The following is a 19,466-nucleotide window of genomic DNA, read 5'->3' on the forward strand; positions in this document are numbered from 1 at the left end:
AATGTATCAGCCAATCTTCAAGTAATGTTATACTACTTCACATACAGTGTCAGACCTTACAACACTGTACTTTGAATTTCTCCTTCCCATCCTTTGTTATAGGATTTAACATTTATCGTTTATCTTTATATATGTTATATACTCCACGATATGTTGTTACTATTTTTGTTTTAGATCAGAGGTCAACACACTTTTTCTGTGAAGAGCCAGATCATGACTATTAGGCTTTGTGACCATATGGTCTCTGTCATAACTACCCAGCTCTGCTGTTACAGTCTGAAAGCAGCTATAGACAATATATAAATGAACAAGTGTGGCTGCGTTTCAATAAAACTTTATCACACTATAATTAGAACTTGATGTAATTTTCACATCATAAGATGTTGTCATTCTTTTGATTTATTTTTCATTTTTTAAGACTGTAAAAATGATTATTAGCTCCTGAGCCATATAAAAACAAGTAGCAGGCCAGATTTGGCTAGTGAGCCATAGTTTGCTGACCCCTATTTTAGATAGTTAATTCACTTTTAGTGCAAGTAAAGATAAGAAAAATATGTCTTCTAAGTTTACCTTCACTTTTCTATTTCCAGAACTCTGCATTTCTTTTCATAGTTCTAAATTTTTGTCTGGTGTCATATTCCTTCTACCTTTAACATTTCTGTGAACTCAGATCTGCTGGTGGTGGATTTTCTCAGCTTTTATCTGTCTGGAAAAAATCTTTGTTTCACCTTCAGTTTTAAGAAATATTTTCTCTGGGTATAGAATTGTGGCCTGACAGACTTGTAGTTTAGCCAGCTTTTTGTTCTTGTTAAAATGGGAGTGATGCTTTTCCCAGCATTCGATAGCTAGGCAAAAGTGAAATTTATGGATTTATTTTGCAAAATCAGTGCAATAAAAATATTATGTGTAATTTCTTAATAGAGTCTATAGAGTAATAACTTTATAAAATATTATTGTTCATAATTTTTCCAATCATGTATGCAGTTTGATTTAGATGAGATCACTAATTGGCCTGCAAGGTAATCTGATGAATTTATTCATTATAGTTGTTTTTGTTTTATGCTTTTATTTCTAGAAATAAAATAACTGAAGTCATTGTATTTTCTCCTTAACTAGGGTACTAGTTGCTTCCTGCGCTGGATCAGAAACTTAGATGATGAACTACATGCTATTATAGCTGGTAAAGCAATAATAAAAATGAATGGTTATTATTGTATTAATCAGTGGTAGGAATGAATTGGAAATACCATCCAATTCATCCAATTTCTATGAATCTTCCTTTCTCTATCGTAATAGAATTCCAGTTGAGGCACTTGTCCAAATACTTTGTGATGTTTAACATATCAAGGCACTGTTGCCATCTGATGTTTTGAGTTGGCAATATAATGGCTTGGGTATCTGTCCTGCTATAGGCCATAAATCCTAGCGAATGTGTCACAAAAGAATATAAAAAGCCTTATATTTATATTTGCCATATAAGTGATTAAGGGAAGTTCAAGTAGATTTCATTGAAAATTCTATTTTTACCACTGGAAAGTGACCTATATTTTCATAATAACTTTTTAAAGGAACTTAATCATTTTATTAAAAAATCTAAATATTATTTTCTATAAGTGCAATGTATGTATTAAATTAAATAGATAATTTATCAGGTATTTATTAGGAATAACCTTAGTTATTAGTATTCGACACCTCCCCTCCTCCCCTGGCCTTGGTTTTCCATTTATATAATGAAAGCAGTGCTATGGAGAGAAGTATTGTGATAGCACTAACCATCATTTGAGCTATTTAATATTAGGAGAATATATGAATAAATATTTCCACTTAAAATCGAAAAGGAACCAAGAGGCTTTGAAAAATTATTTTTTTTAAATTGTATTTGGCAAGACCACTCCTCTTTAAAGTTAAAATAGAAATGTAAAGCTTCTTGTTATACATAAATCAGAACTGTTTATTTCTAACTCTGAATATCAATTTTTTAAATTTAAAAATATGCAATAATATCTCACCCCATTTTAATGTCATCTGGTTTATTACTGTCCTTGATTGTGTTGTAACAAGAGATAGTGCTGATTCTATGTAAGTGAATTAACATTTCTGATGACATAATAACAAATAAATACTCTGCGATCTTATCAGTTATTTCTTATTTCTTGTTTCAGGATTTTTGGCAGGTATATCAATGATGTTTTATAAAAGCACAACAATTTCCATGTATTTAGCGTCCAAATTGGTAGAGGTAAGCGAAATTTTTGTGCAAGAATAGTTCCAAAGAACATAAAGCTTTTAGCTGCTGACTGTTTTAGCAGCAAATGTATATCCCAATGGCAAACATAAATTTTAATCCTCTAAAAGTATTTGCAAAGTTGATTCCCCTGTGTTTTTCTTTGTGTGTGTGTTATTTTCAAATATACATTAAGTATAGAAAGAGTAGTGTAATTAACCCTCATGCACCCATCATGCAGCTTCAACAGTTATCAGTATTTGGCCAGTCTCCTTTCATCTATACTCCTCAACCCCACAGGTATCGAGTTATTTTAAAGCCAATCCCAGACACTATATAATTTCATCCTTAAAAAAATTTCAGCATAAAGACTCCTTAAAGAATAAAGGCTAAAGGCTTTTTCAAAACAAACAAATCAACAATACCACAGTATCATTATCATACATTAAAACCCTCCCAGTAATTCCATACTAATATATCCAATTAGAGTTTATGTCTTCACTGATTATCTTATAAATATGTTTTTGCAATCATTTTATTTTAATCAAGTTCCAAACAAAGTTTCTTGTAGTTTATAATAGTTACCCCCCTACTACTGCTGCTACTGCTTTTCTTCCTCCTCCTCCTCCTCCTCCTCTTCCTTCTCCTCCTCCTCCTTCTTCCTTGACATTTATTTGTTGAAGATGTAGGTCATTAGTTCATGGAATTTCCCAAATTCTGGATTTTGCTGATTGCACCCTCACTGTTGTTGTTTAACATGTTTCTTTAACTCATAAATTTTTTTAGTTGTTAACTAGATCTTGAGACCTAAGCAAATTCAGGTTTAAATTTTTGTAGGAGGTAACAGCCATACTTCACATTTACTGTGTATGTGAACTTCCAATTGCATCATCACATGACGAGGCACAAAAATGTCTGGTTCTCTCTCTTTTTGTGATGCTAAGATTGATCAGTGGGCTTAGGTGTTGATAGAGCCAACATAAGGTTCCCCAGTAGCCCTATAGCTATTGGTTTTCGCAGCTGTTAATAATTATCACTGGGATTCATTATTTCATTAAGAGTTGCAAAATGATGAAAAATACTATTACTCTTTATTCTGTGTTTATTAGCTGAAATTGTTCTAAATGCATTTTTCCTTTTCAACTATTTGGTTACTCTGAAATACGTTGTTCTGGAAAGTCAAAATAAAATGCTTGATTAGTTCATTTTTAATTACCAGTGTTTAGAATGAGTTAGTACCTTAGCATCCTGCAAAGTTGACCCATGAGTCTTTATTTTTAAAGTATCATTATGAAGATTTGGAGTTTAACATATATGATTTATTTTCATTATGCTCAAATTGTTCCCATCTTTGGCCATGAGAGCTTCCTTAAGTTGACTCCTCCTTGTTGTAACATAACACCATTATCTTTGATAGCTTTCTTGCTGTAAGACAATATATTCCGGGCTCATCTGGGACATTTTCTGCCTCAGATGTAGAATCAGTCTTCTCTGTAATGGCTCCTAGTTTGTTTTAGTGGGAAATGGTATTTAAAGATTTCAATCCAGGTGCTAGAGGTTATTTGCTCCCAGGCTAGTTACTGATTCTTGGCTTTCGCAGTGAATGGAGCTAGAGAATCTCCCTCCCCTTGCTTTTTAGAAACAGAAAATACATTTGGAACATAGTGATATTTCTAATTCAAAGTTAAGAGTGTAGATTTTATTTAACTTAATTACTTGCTTTACCCAAATATATGTGTGTGTGTGTGTGTGTGAGAGAGAGAGAGAGAGAGACAGAGAAAGAGAGAGAGATTGAGAGAATATATACATCATGAAATCAGGAGGACAGGCAGGAGCCAGACCATCATGTAGGATTTTAAAAGCTGGGGTAAAGAATTTGTTTTTTTCTCAGTGCACTGGAAACCACTGAAGAGTTTTAAGCATGGAAATGACAGTATTTAATTCACATTTTAAGAAGAACATTTTGGCCACTATTTTAGAGGGAGGCAGGATCAAAGCTGAGAGAACAGTTAGTCTGTGTCAGGAAATGGTGGCTTGCACCAGGATGATAGCAGTAGAGATGGAGAGAACTATACAGATTTGGTGTATGTTTAAGAGTAGAATTGGCAAGACTTGCTAATGGAGAGGAAAAGGGAACTGAGAGAAAGAAAATAATCCTTAGGTGGCAAAAATATATTCTTTAACACAAGAGGAAACCAATATTGAGATCTAGTTTATTAAAGGTATTTTACAGCTAAGTGGCCAGAGTTTTTTAAGGCAAGGAATGGTATCTCTCTGTTTCTTGTGTCATCAGGCCATATCTGATCCTGGCAAAAGAAACTGGCATATAAACTATGGTGATGCAGACTTTTTTTTTTTTTTAAATAGGATATTAGAAATTTAAGCTTGCTATGTCCTTTTGTGGAATTCATTGCTCTGGTAATAGACAATCATTTTTCTGTGATTGAAGTTAATTTTATATTAAAATGTTCTATTACTGTACAGTGAAAATGATATAAAAATCAACTGTATAGACCATTGTTTTCTAGGAACCTCTGAGTCAAATGCATGTATTTATTTAGTATATATTATGTTCTCATTACTGTGCTAGGTACTGGAAAGAATATAGAAGTATAGGATATGGTTTCTGTCCTTCATTAACTTAGAATCTGGTTTATTAAATGAATTTTATAATAAATAATTAGAAACGCAGTTATTCTATCTATTGGGAAATAGCTGTTTCACTTAACATTTCTGTGACGCAGTTCTACCACATCTGAATTAAATCTTCAACATGAATACAGCACAATGTATCTCTATCTTGCAATATACTGTTACATATTTTTCTCAAAATAATGGCCAATGTATATTTATCTTGTTTCCAAAATAGATTATAACTTGGTATATATCTTACAAATTCTCATATATCCCAGTCTCTTTTACACATTATGTACATTTAATCCTCAGTATATACTTTTGGATTGATTTGTATGTAAAGTATCCACCTTATCATTTCCTTTGTTGCTTTGCTCTTTGGTTATGGTAGCTTATATAGATCTTGAGGATTCTTTTTATGGCAATTCAGTTGGGATATAATTTAAAAAGAGTCAGATTTACTTAGCAAATATTTTAATGCCATGTTCTAGGTTAGGTACTGAAGATCATGCAAAGTTGAAGAAGAGAAGGCTGTTGCCACCTGTCAGTGACTTCTTTTGAGTTCTCATCCTATTTATATTCTTTATTTTGTGGAGAATAGTGCCCGGCGTGTAGACACCATTAAATGTTTACTGAATAAATTAATAAAGGATGAACAGATCTATCAGGGAAGAGAACACATGAGCACTGTACAGAAAGCATTGAAGAGTAAATATCATTTAAAAAGCAGAAATAAAATGCTACTGAATTTACAGAAAAGTACTACTACTTGAAGCTGGGATTTGGAGCAAAACTGTGAGGGAAAGGGAAGGGCTGACCCTTAACATCATTATGAAAAATGTGACATCGTTTGAGCTCTGAAGGGAGTATTAGGATTCAGAAAGGTTGTAGGCAGGGAGCACAATGCTCAACTATGTTTTTAATGCTGAGGTTTTTTCTTTATAACTCTTGTCTTATGCTTGTTTTGCAGACAATGTATTTCAAAGGCATTGAAGCAGGGAAGGTTCCCTATTTTCCTCATGCAGATACTATCATCTATTCCATCTCTACAGCAATTTGCTTCCAGGCAGTAAGTATAACTTTTTGAAATGAGAAATTGAATGATTCCTGTTTCTAATGTACGTTAATCAAATGGGAGAGAAACAAACTCTGGGAACATTTCTATTTACAGTATTACATTTTAAGCTTCTTTTTTGTTTTGTTTTGTTTTTTTTTCAGCAAGATAGCTTACCAGCTTCTAATCATTAATGTTAACCTAATGCGCTAGGTCCTTTTTATGAGTACACCAATTTTTAGGTTTTAATAGAGTACAATTTATAAGTAAATTATTGTTCCAGTACCTTGGGAAGAATGCCCCAATTTAATTATCCTTCCCTTTGATTAAAAAAAAAAGGATAATAGGGATATGCTGATAATAGGCATAAATATAAATAATTGCATTTCTCCAATATTATTCAGAAGGAGGATGGGGAAGAACTAGTTTCATATAAGCATTGTTCAATCTCTGAATTCTGTAACCATTATTATTGACATTAACGGTGTTAGGGCTGTTGTAAAATTTTTGGGAAAACTTTTATTTGCTCTTTCTCATAAAATGCTGCCAGCTTGAAAAACTCATTAAAACTAATGAAGTATCAATATCTCAGTAAATGCTTCCTGATAATGACTATTCACTTAATTATTATTTCAAAAGTGACTTTTTTTTTTCTTTTTTTTTTTTTTGAGATGGAATTTTGCTCTTGTCCAGGCTGGAGTGCAATGGCATGATCTCAGCTCACTGCAACCTCTGCCTCCTGGGTTCAAGTGATTCTCCTGCCTCAGCCTCCCAAGTAGCTGGGATTACAGGCATGCACCACCACGCCTGGCTAATTTTTGTATTTTCAGTAGAGACGGGTTTTCTCCATGTTGGTTAGGCTGGTCTCGAGCTCCTGATCTCAGGTAATCTGCCCGCCTCGGCCTCCCCAAGTGCTGAGATTACAGGTGTGAGCCACCGTGCCCAGCCAAAAGCAACATTTTTATTTGAAGGCATATTTACAAAAATTCTTGATAGTTACCAACTTAAACATCAATACACCTTTGTGTATTTCATCACTTTCAGTTTTCATTTATATTTACTAAAAGAATTCTCAAATTTAATACTCAGGCTGTCATGGAAGTTCAGACTTTGAGACCATCTTACTGGAAGTTCCTTTTAAGACTCACCAAGGGCAAGTAAGTGACTACGTAGTTTTCTTAAAAATATTATGAGTGGTTTTATCTTTTTGAGGGAATATTCTTTCAGTGGTAAAGTAGGTATTTATATATAAATAAAATATGAGTAACTTAACTAAGAATAACATGGGGCGTTTTTTGAGTGAGCATTATTCTGACTATTCTTTTCCCTATAATATTGTAGATGTTTTAAGTGGTCTAGATTAATATCATGTTGATTTGCTAACTACTAATTAGCTGCTACATAAATACTTAAGTCTGACTGTTTGAATCACTGTCCATTTCTTTTTGATTAAAAATATTAAACAGATTCATTAAAGATCATCTCCACATAATTAACTGATTTCCATTTTGGAAATAGTCATATTGTGTTGCTTCTTGTTGTAAGTATATGTTCCTCTACCTTACATATCATTTTTGCTTTGTTTTGTTTTCTCCCCTGATCTTAATCTAATTCTTTGGGAGGCATTTTGACCTAATAGAAAGAGCATGGGCTTTGGAGTCAGACAGACCTAAGTTTGATTCCAGCTCTGCTACCTTCAGCTGTGTTGCTATGGAAAATTATTTACCCTCGTGAGCCTAAGTTTTTTTCGGTCTACAATGAAATAATAATGCATACATTGTATGGTTGTAGGAAAATTAAGATGCTTATAGTAGCGCTGGGTAAATTGCATGTATGAATTGCTATCATTATTAATAATAATAGCAAATACTAGTATAGTGCTGACAATGTCCAACATATGGTTTTAAGAGGCACACATACAATATCCATGTATACATAAATATGCATTTAATCCTTAAATCCTAACTGTAAGAGTTAGGTTCTGTTATTATCCCTGTTTTACATATGAGGAAACTAAAATGTACAAAGGGGTTAGATAGCTTGCCAGAGTCACTCAGTTAGTAAATGAAGGAGCTGGAACATAAACCAGGCAGTCTGGCTTCAGAACTTTCCCTCTTATCCATGTCACTGTAGATCCTTTACATTGTTATTGTTTAATCATTTTTTGTCATTTAGTTTTCTGCACATTAATAAGTTTTACTAATTGATTATTTTGGAAGGGAACTTACTTTGGAAAAGTACTGAAAGTCACATTTATAGGCTGTCAGAATAATGCTGGCCAGTGATTCAAAACTAATTTCATTCAGCTGTTTTCTCCAGAAAGGAAATGCTTGTGAATAAGCACAGAGACCCAGAAGGTCTATCCTGTACATTAGCTAAATTTGTGTGTTTAAAAAATGTTATATATCTTAGGTTAGGTAATGGATAACGTTAGGGTATATTTTTACTGTGTTGTGTCTATTAAACATTTGAAAACCTATATGCTGTTTGCCTTTTAGTCATTAAATGTTTGCACATTTGAATGTGTTTTCATTTGATGGTGAGACATTATGATGTCAATTATGAGAGAAATTACATTTAATGCTTTTGCCTCATTGGTAATGTTAGCTCATTTATTGTTTAGTTTCCTGTGAATTCATTCATCATAAAAATAATAATGAACCTAATTTTCTATTTGATACAGTCTAGTGGAAAGAATTCTAGAAGGGTTTAAAATAATGGTTGTAATCTCTGCGGTTTCAGATCTGGGGATTATCTCTTTAATCCTTAATCCTAACTGGATTATCTCTTTAAATAAAATATGAGACAGTGTATCTCGAAGAAGAGCCTTCATGTGACTTGAATCTGCCATTGAATTTAGATCCTTTGCCACGTTAGCCTTTTCTGTTTTCCCATCCCACATAAGATAAGTCAACTAAAATGAATTATTTTATTTTATAAACTATATTAATACTTGTTTACTGTATTCTTTGTTTTACAGATTTGCTGTCATGAACCGAAAAGTCCTTGATGTTTTTGGTACTGGTGCATCTAAACACTTTCAGGATTTCATCCCCAGGTTGGATCCAAGATACACAACTGTAACACCAGAGTTGCCCACAGAGTTTTCCTGAAGATGACTGTAACTTATTAATGTGACTAAATGTTTCATCTTGAAGAGTTAATTATGTTGAACACAAAGGAGGGGGCCCAAGCTCGAACTTCAGTGTTATTTCAGTTAGAGATACTCTTTTCATTTGTTTTGTTTTTCTTATGAATCAGAAATTCAGAAGCTTTTTAGGAAGATGTTGCTTAATAATTAAGCTTCCTCCATAGCCAGAATAAGATTCTGGATCACTGTAGTGACTGACATTATATATTATTGATCAAATTATGTCCACAAGCAATATTATATAATCTACGTAGAAGTGTAATAACAAACAAGAGTACACTTAAAATTACTTTAAAAGATGTCTTTAGTTCATTCCAATATAATTCTTGATTAAAATTAGGATTATTTCTACATTTTAGGATTTACAAAGGATCACGGGTACATGGATTTGGTCTATATATTTTTTTAAAGTTTTGAATTGGTATCTGTAGTAGTGGAATGTTATAGATTTGAAGTAACTCTCCACGGACAGTGCTGCTTTCGTGTAGAGCAATTTAATTGGAGAAGTGGCCATTCTTACTTCAGGGATGCAAAGATGGGTCTCATACCATTTGGATAAATGTCGTGGTATCCATGCTTTTTTTCAACTAATAACATCATCTCTCTTCATGACCAGTTAATTGGGCTATTTGGCAGCCCAGTGAACCTATGTACTAATGGCAAGTTAGGGGCAAATGGAAATGGACACATCCGATAAAGTTGAAATGTATGTTTTAATCTTTCACAGAAGTATTACACTTGAATATTTAAAAACAAAACTTTTAAACTTCCTATAGGTTTATGATGTTTGTTTTCATTTATATGGACATAATCCTTCATAGCTCAGTTTATATGCCATTGTTGTATTAGAAGGGATCAAAATCCTATGGAACAAAGTAGTCTTGGCAAGTTGGCAGTTTGTGTCCTCTCAGCTGTTTAACTTATGTAATGGATGTTTTGCACCTGAAAACACTATAAAAATCCAGTGGTTGTTTAAAAAGTCCATTTGTCACTAATTCCATTCAGGTTCTCCAACCTTCTTCTTGAATATCATTGTCACCATTTTTACTGTTAGAATAAAGAGGTGACACCATAAAGTCCTGCTGATAATGAGAGTAGTTCAGGACAGCTGTGATTGAAATATGGTCGCTATTTACAGTTTTTCAGGGAAAAGTTATACTTTTCTATGTTAATAAAGAGCTGAAGTGGTCTACAGTTAATGTGACATGTAGGGATGATGATATTTTTAAAATACATTTTGTTGCTAAAAAGTTTTTAGGCCAGTGCAAATTATGCAGTAGAACTTGTGTTGCAAAAGGAATTATAACCCATACTTTAAAAATGCTTAATCCCTCATATTCAATTTCATCAAGCCTTGTATACTTCTGCTTAAATGTAATTCAATCCTTGGTTGTTATGGCAAACAGAAACCCAACAAAAAGACAGACTCTGGTACTATGGTAACAGAGCCACTTTATCATTTGGTCAAAATTTGGCATTATGATTAGCTTTGTAGAACTGACCTGTTTATTTGGCAATGCTGTTAAAGGATCATTTCGGTTTCAGACTTCAAAGTTGATTAATAAATTTAATCTTAACTTTTTATTCACTGGAATCAAAACGATGGTTGGTACTGTGTTTACTGTTTAAAATGAAGTACTAAAGCCCTGAGAACTGCACCTCATTTTCTTTATCCAGAAATTGTGCTTATATATTTTCCTGTCAGGTTTAAAAAGATGTTTTAATTCATAAATTATTGTTTTCATTGACATTAAAAGACTGTGATATTGAAAGATGAATTACGAAATTTGCTGAGATTGTTTAGTAAAATTTTGCTGGTCAAAAAGGTGTATTTCTACAATTTACCTTTTCATTTTTATAAATTGCAGTCATTTTTTTAAATTTTATGTAAAATGTAAAATGAAATAGCTATCATGAAGCAGAATACAATGATGAATGTATAGGTTGAGTGAATAACCAATTTGCAGTGGTGGATTGAGAAGTCCAGTTTGATTTCATTGGGACAGACTGCAAAGTGTAGTTGTTTGAGCAAACACAAAGAAACTTTGTGTTTTTGAAGACAATCAGAATGATTACCTTTCTACCTCTAACTAATCAGGTATTGATTGACAACTTTTTGGCATTATAAATAAAGTAAAATAGATCTCTGCATTCCAAAATATGTTTTTTAGTTTATTTATATCCTGAAGAAATGGTAAGTTTTCACTGGAACTGATTACAGTAAACAATAATATGTCCCCTTAGTCTTTCTGACATTTTTATATAGATTGAGATTGAAAAACCGTGCATTTGGGGCAGTGGTATTATGGTCATTTCGTTGCTATTTTCTGTTTTAATAAAATCCTAGAACTAGTAGCAACCGAGTAAAGATTGAGTTTGCAAGATAACAGATTGTCTCAAATCTATTCAATTCTCAGCAGTTTTTCATCAAATAATTTCAGGATCCATTTTATTACTCATTTTTGAAGTAACACCTTTGGTTTAGTTTTATTTTCCCATAAATTCTGCTTTTGCTTCTGTAACTTTTTTCTTGAACTATAAGCATAGTCATCACTCAGTTGATATCTAGTTTATTTTTTGCCTTCATTCGTTGTTTAGTCAGTTGTTATTTAATTTAGAATTTTATATTTTTTTGGCTCTCAGATTTTATAATGAACTTTTATTAGACTGAACATGTATGTTTTTGATGGAATCCAAACTGAGCAAATGTCACACAGTATTTTCTTGTTGTGCTCGAGTGTTCGTCTCCTTGTAGATTGTATCTAGGCTAACATTTCATTTAGTTGTTAATGCTGACGTAATTGTTTCCTGCTTATATTTTATCATATCCCTGAGCTTCTGTGTGCTCTACATTTCATAGGTAATGAAAAGCAATGTCCTTTACTCTCAGGGAGCTTCGTCCACTTGCCTGTGTCACAACCTCTCCCTTGGTGCTAATTAGGAAGCTTCTTGTGGGACTGAAGGGAACTGACCACTGGAGCAATGGCCCAAATGTTGTTTTTGGAGCAGAGAAATTATTAGCCCAGAGATTCCTTAAATTCTCCGTGTGATTTATTTTTTTATTTTTTGAGTTGAGGTCTAGCTCTGTTGCCCGGGTTGGAGTACAGTGGTGCAATCATAGCTCATTGAAACCTCAAATTCCTTGGTTCAAGCAATTATTTCCCCTCAGTCTCTAATAGCTGGGACAACAGGCATGTGCCACCATGCCTGGCTAATATTTATTTTATTTATTTTTTTTTTGTAGAAACAAGGTGTTGCTATGTTGTCCAGGCTGGTCTTAAACTCCTGGCCTCAAGTGATCCTCTTGGGTTGGCCTCCCGGGACTCTGGGATTCCAGGTGTGAGCCACGGTACCTAGCCATATTTTTATTTGTATGAGTATTAAGTAGTTTGACACAGCAACAAAGTTGTCCTTTGTTTCCCAAAGGCAAAAGTATACATTTCTTACTAAGATATCTTATAAACATTCTCTCTCCTAACACCTCCTTCTAGTAATCATTTTCACATAGTAGAATACTTCACTCAGCTGAAAATGAGTGGCCAAGAAAAAAATACAAGAAAAGGAATAAGAAGTGATTATTTTCTTTAGGGCTGCACTTTGAATGTGATGAGTAATAAGGTTACCTTCATTGTGGAGGTGATGTTTACAATTGCCTCCAGCCCTTTACTATTGGTGCTGAAGCCACCATTGGTGCCAGCTCTATAATTTCTTCTTCTTGTGGAATTAACAAAGAAAGGAGTGTCAAGGACTGAGATGACCCTCAGATTGGGGGGCTGTCTTAGATTCTAGGGCTTTGTAGTACTATGTTTCTGTTTAAAGTAGTGGCCTCAGGTGACTTTGTAATAGCCCTGTAGTTGCAAAAAGGGTAACTACAAAGAAATGAAACTGACTCTAGTGTGTGTGACTTCTGGAAACAGAAGTGGGGCAGTAAGTTGGCCATGATATAGCTAGTGTCATAGGACTACAGCAGAGTAGTGAGTGAATGGCCTTAAGCTTACAGCTGTGGTGAATAAGAATGTGTGCTATTTTACACACAGAAGAAAATGATTGACTTTTGGTTGGAGGAAAGAATTTATATCTGGTCTTTTGGAAATTATTCTGTTGCTGTTTTATGTGGGCTCTCTCTCTCTCCCTCTCTCTCTCTCTCTGTCTGTCTCTCTTGCTGCTCCCTCTCCCTGCCACCTTGTCCATTCTCTGCTTGCTGGTGTTACTTTATGTTAACTAGTCTCCTTGGACTTCATTGCAACCTTTTAAGCCAGCCGTTCAAGTGAGAGGCTCTGGAGTGATCATAACGGTGATAACAATGGAGTAAACATTTCCAGAGACACTGATTTTTTTTTTATATGCTCTGTTTTTCTTAGGCAGGATGATGTAGAAGATAATTGCACAGATATGGAAGGAGATGTTTCTCTGTATGTGAAGCCTTTAAATCCAGAACAATTAATTTCTTCTCTTCTTAAAACCCCGTAACATCACTTGACTCTGGAATTTCCTATTTTCTTTTACTTTCTCCATTTTTTTTCCATCTGTCCCTCCTACGAATATGTTTTACATGAAATAATGTATTGGGTTTTATCTTTTGTCCCAGCAGACCTGAAAATCCCAGTATATTACCACAGACACACATACCATCTGGTCACCAACAGGGACATCAGGGCCAAGAGCAGTTTATACTTCTTTCTTTAGCTCACAAACTACTATAGCTTGCCTGTTCAGTTTTTTTTTTTTTTAATATTCAGTTTTGTGCCATACTCTCCCCCACCCCCAGCCTGCTGCCTCTGCAGAGCATAACATTCTAATCTTGTCAGACCGTGGATAATAGGATGTTCCCTGGTCTTGGCATAGAGGCCATAGGCATACAACATGCTTTATCTGCCTTGCTTAGACTCAGCATCCCTTTCTGTCTTGAGAGATTCAGGCTTCCATAAAGTAGACCTGTAGACCTATGTTGGCTGAGGTCACCCTGCATTACTACTTTCCTCCATCCCTGAACTAGGACCAGTTAATTTTCGAAGTCTAGTTCTTCAGTGTCTATTAAACTTTTTCCAGTAGTTAATCGATCTCTTAAATTAATTTTCTTTTCAGATTATTTTTGGTCACCTAAGAGGACCCTGAAGCTATAGTGCCAAAGGTTTAAAGCATGAAGTACATTCTGTGGTTGGTCATTATGGGATTGGATGCCAAAAGGAATGGGAGAGAAGAGACTATAAACATATTTTAAGCCTTATCTCTTTTCTCCTATTCTTTTCTTTACCTTTCCTGGCCCATGCTTTCCTGCCATATCTTTGCTATGTATTTCTTCATCTTGAGCTCTCAAGGGAAAAAACAGGAGTCCTTATTTTTCTATTTATTTCAGGGAAAATTGAAGGTAAATAATATCTGCAAAGCTTCAGGAAGAAATTCAGTTGCATCTGAATCTGAGTCGGCAGTTTTTGATAGCCTGTCACTGCTCAGGGATAGCACTAAGGCTCTCTTCAGAACCAAAGGGCAGGATAAATAAATCTATGAAACTAGAGGCATCATTGAATCATCTGAGGACCTTTTTTTTTTTTTTTTTTTCACTAAAACGCTTCCTATAACTTGGATTAAAATTCAAAAATGGGATTGCAGTCATTGTTAATTGCTCAACTAGTGGCAGTTTTTCCTTGCTGAGGGAACACTGATGTTGTTTAAGACAGTTACATGCCTAGCCCCAGGGATGAATCATAATTGTTCTAGGCCTTTCATGTCTTTCCTTTCTTCTTGTCCAGATACTTTTCCAACCAGCCTTTACTCGGAGGTGTTCATGTGACCCTGTTTTGGCCAATAAAATGTAATGGAAAATCTGGGAAACACTTGGGAAAAATCTTCCCTCTCTGCTTAAAGGAAAGTTCTTTTTACCTCTTTTTCTCTTGTTCAAGGTATTAGTATTAGTCAGTAGGGTCTGAATCTGTGGCAGCAATCTTGCAGACATGAAATGAAAAGTACAAACATGAAAAACCAGCATATTAAAGATGCCAGGTCAGAAAAATAGAAAGAACCTGCTTCTGTGAGCCACTGAATGGTGCCATTAACCATCTGCATTTGAGCATTTTGAGAAAATAAACCTCTATTTCTTAAAGTTCTGTATCAGTCAGGGTTTCCCAGAGAGGCAGAACAATAGGGATAGAGAGATACATAGAGAGAGATATGAGAGGGATAGAGAGAGACACAGAGAGAGATATGAGAGGGGATTAAGGGAGTTGGCTCATGTGATTGTGGAGGCTGAGAAACCCCACCACAGGCCATTCATAACCTGGAGACCTTGGGATGCTGGTGGTCTGGCTCAGTACAAGTCCAAAAGCCTTGGAACCAGGGAAACTGATGGTGTAATTCTCAGTCCAAGGCTGAATTTTCAAGTCTGAGAACCTGGGGGTGGGATGGGGGAGTGATAGTTTTAAGTCCTGGAGTCCCAAGGTTAGAGGATCTGGGGTCCTAATGTCCATGGGCAGTTGGAGAAGAGTGTATCCCTGCTGCAGGGGAGAGAGAGAAGCCAATTCTCCTTTCTTCTGTTTTTATTCTACCCAGGCCTCCAGTGGATTGGAGGTGCCTGCCCATATTGAGGGCAGATCTTCTCTGCCTAGTCCACGCTAACTCACATGCCAATCTCCTCTGGAAACACCCTCACAGACACACCCCAAAATAATGCCTTACCAGTTCTCTAGATATTCCTTAATCCAGTCAAGTTGATGCCTAAAATTAACCATCACAGGCTTTATGGCTCTATTACCCAAGAATTCTGTTACTTTCAGCTGAAAACATTTCTAATGGACATATTCCAATTCTGTATAGATCAGATCTCAGTTTCATTTCCCATTATATCCTTCTCTCTCTTGATTTAGAATTCTCTTTTTCTCCACTCTTCTGTGTATGCTAAAATACTGTCAATCTCGTCTTTGAAGGTTTTGCTCATCTTTAAAAAATCTTAGTTGATTATGTTTTATGTGTCATTTAATTAAGGAATGAATTTGCTTATTTTTATTTCAGTAGCTTTTGGGGTACAAGTGGTTTTTGGTTGCATGGATGAATTGTATATTGGTGAAGTCTGAAATTTTAGTGCACCTGTCACCAGAATAGTGTGCATTGTACCCAATATATAGCTTTTTATTCCTTCCCCTTCTGAGTCTCCATAGTCCATTATATCACTCTGTATACCCTTGTGTATCCATAGCTTAGCTCCCACTTACAGTTGAGAACATACAGAATTTGATTTTCTATTCCGGAGTTACTTTACTTAGAATAATGGCCTCCAGCTCCATCCAAGATGCTGCAAAAGACATTATTTCATCTTTTATTTTTTATGGCTGAGTAGTATTCCATGGTGCATATATACCACATTTTCTTTATCCACTCATTGGTCTATGGGCACTTTGGTTGATTCTGTATCTTTGCAATTGTGAACTGTGTTAACAATAAAAATATATATACGAGTGTCTTTTATGGTAGATCTCCTTTTAGTTCTTTAAGACACCTCCATACTGTTGTCTGTAGAGGTTGTACTAATTTACATTCTCACCAGCAGTGTATAAATGAGACAGGGTCTCACTCTGTCACCCAGGTTGGAGTGCAATGGCATGATCATGGCTCACTGTGGCCTTGACGTCCCAGGCTTAAGTAATCCTTCCACCTCAGCTTCCCTGGTAGCTGGGACTACAGGCACATGCCACCATGCCTGATTAATTTTGTTTTCGTTTTTGTTTTTTTGTAGAGACAGGGGTCTCACTGTGTTGCCTAGGCTGGTCTTGAACTCTTACACTCAAGCAATCCTCCCTCCTAAGCCTCCCAAAGTTCTCCAGTTATAGGCGTGGGCCACTGTGCCTGGCCTTATAAGTGTCATTTTTAAAACATTGGTTTTTAACCATATAGAAATAAATCTAAAAAGAGCCTGCAAAACAAAACATCCTTTAAACATGTTTAAGTAGATAGAATATCTGAAATTCTGGATTTTTCAGTCACTTCATTATTATGCCGTGGCAGCCAAGTAATCCTTAACTTCAGTTGGATGAACTAAACTTCCTAAATACAGCTTCATTGCAGATTCCAACTTCTATGTTATCTTCTGTCATTTGCCTTTTAACACTTTCCTTTAGGGTTAAGATGGCTATATGAATGGCATTTTAAATTTCAGATCTTCATTGTTTCTTCTCTCAAAGAAAGTTTTCCCAGTCACACAGTTCTTTCCCATTGCTGTGGCATTCAAAGAAAGCTCCAGATGGATCTGCCTGAGTAAATATGTCTGTCCCCCACAACCACAAATAGGTAGAAAGACTCCAAATGGACAAATACCACCAGACTCGGTGTATTCTTGCATCTCAGAAGCTAATTTCTCTACCAGCTGAGTTGTGGGAATGGGTTCTTGGTAAACAGGATAGTATTGCTCAGCTAGCTTTTGAACTCCATGCACAAGCATTCTGTAATCTGCACCCATGCCACTATACACCAAACCTGTATGTTTGGTAATTGGTTCCACTCTGTGTACACTTTGCTCATCATATAGAATAGATTTCTGCTCTTCTCAGTTGCTAATACCATGCCATTTGCTGCTTTAACTCCCACTGAAAGGGCTTTTCCAGCTAGAGCAGCCAAAGCCTATTCAATATGGACAAATTTACTAGACAGGCCCAATGTAGTCAGCGAGAAGCTGTAACTAAGTTCCTCCATCTTTATCCAGATAACCCTTTTCTCTCTGTCTTAGTGCAGCAGTTTGCTAATACCCCCAATAAAGCACATTTCATTTGATTCTGATTAGCTATGTATTCATCTGTTGCTCTTTTAGGTTGTGGTATATATTTGAAGAGCAAAGACTACAGCTTATCCTCCAACTGAGTGTATGTCAGGCCTTTATAAAGGGAGTGGAGTTAGGATGGGAGGTGGTTTTCTCAGCAGCTGCTTGTTGGATGCCTGCTAACTTTATGGAGTCTGCAGACCAAAAATTCACACTTAATTTTTCCTATAAAAGTCTGGAAAATATTATTCTTACAAATGATTTTGTAAATACTGCAGGAAATTGGCTCCTACTACTATCCCAGCAGCTATTGAAGCCAGTTTGGCTTCAGGTCCTAGACAAATGATTTGTCATCTGTTTCATTTGTTTGTTTTTTTTCCTGACAGAGCTGGAATTCTGGATTGTTCCCCACTTTAAAAACTTCAAAATCCAAACCAGAAGTAGACAGGACAGGACACGAGGCTCCCCCTTCCCACTTAGTTTCACAGAGTGAAAAATCACAGGCAGTTTTCCCAGAATTATATTTTATGTCTGGCCTTTGAATAGCATATTAAGGTAAAAAAAAATTGTTGCTGTTGTTTTTCTATAACAGATAGGGCCTTAGATATTTGAGAGAGGAAAAGGATTGGAATCACTCTTATCAATATAGGTAGGGCTCTAACAAATAGCTTCTGATACTCATTTTTAGAGGAAAGAGAAGGACACTAAAATTTAAGAGGTGTGCCTCTGATATGTGGTAAATTGTTTATATCTCACTCAATCCTCACACCTTATCAGGTAGGTATTATTAGTTCTGTTTTATCAGCTAGGGAACTGGGAATCAAAAAGTGTGGTAATTTACCCAAGGTAACAATACTGGAATTTGAACTCAGATCTCCAAGAGTTGAAATTTTAAGTAGCATCGTTACTCACTCCCCTTAAAATTAATCATTTATCACTGAAATAAAAACCCTTGCCTCCCAAAGTGGTTGATGTTTACTTTCAGCTTAACTAAAAGAATAGGAACAAGATTTACCTTTTCATCTGAAACAACTAAAAGACCTGACAATACTGTATGTAATAAAACAATAGTTTTCAGACACTAGTCATGAAGCAGTGAATGGCAACAATCCTGAAAGAAGGAACACAAATGAGTTGTGTTTTATGATTCCCCTAGCTGATATCTGGAGAGAGATTCCAGATTGCAGCCTAAGGAAAGAGAACTAAGAGAGAAACCAGAGATTTCTCTGAGTTGAGGGAACAGAGGTGGGAGTCCAGAGAGGCTAAAGTCGATGAAGTTCATAAGGCAGAGTACAAAAGAGGAGAGAGCTGCACAGAAAAAAGGCTTGCAGATCTCAAGAGCGTCCCCCTTGAGACATAAGCTGAGTACTTCGGCATGCATGGGAAAATTACCAAGGTTGGAGAAAGAACCACCCGAAAGGAGCAGAGGGAGCAATCATTGGAGTTCACGCAAGGAAGCGAGTAGTTTGTGTTCCTGCTAGCCAGAGTAGCACAATTCATTTTACAAAGGGTGCTGGATAGAGTAGTCAGGAAAATAGAGCCTCATAGGGGAGCAAAATTAACCCTAGACTAAAGGCTGGTCTCATCTTACCTATTGAAGCTTAAAAGCCTCAGTTTCCGGCTGGGCACAGTGGCTCATGCCTGTAATCCCAGCACTTTG

General features: G+C 35.6%; 1 protein-coding gene and 2 pseudogenes across 5 annotated transcripts in view; 1 reads left to right on the forward strand and 2 right to left on the reverse strand.

Annotated features, from left to right (window-relative positions):
- TMEM135 (transmembrane protein 135) overlaps nucleotides 1-16,516 on the forward strand; it is a 290,891-nt gene extending 274,375 nt beyond the window's left edge. For all 5 annotated transcript variants that reach the window (NR_033149.2, NM_022918.4, NM_001168724.2 and 2 more), the window contains 5 exons: nucleotides 1,117-1,180; nucleotides 2,163-2,239; nucleotides 5,829-5,927; nucleotides 7,002-7,069; nucleotides 8,893-16,516. Coding sequence is in view for 4 of the 5 variants with exons in the window: in NM_022918.4 (NP_075069.3) it covers nucleotides 1,117-1,180; nucleotides 2,163-2,239; nucleotides 5,829-5,927; nucleotides 7,002-7,069; nucleotides 8,893-9,025 (441 nt within the window). In the remaining variant the exon portion in view is untranslated. The remainder of the gene's footprint in view (nucleotides 1-1,116; nucleotides 1,181-2,162; nucleotides 2,240-5,828; nucleotides 5,928-7,001; nucleotides 7,070-8,892) is intronic.
- LOC100420680 (coiled-coil domain containing 90B pseudogene) lies at nucleotides 11,399-12,053 on the reverse strand (annotated as a pseudogene).
- PSMA2P1 (proteasome subunit alpha 2 pseudogene 1) lies at nucleotides 16,906-17,750 on the reverse strand (annotated as a pseudogene).

Source organism: Homo sapiens, chromosome 11, assembly GCF_000001405.40.
Source record: "Homo sapiens chromosome 11, GRCh38.p14 Primary Assembly".
NCBI lineage: Eukaryota > Metazoa > Chordata > Mammalia > Primates > Hominidae > Homo > Homo sapiens.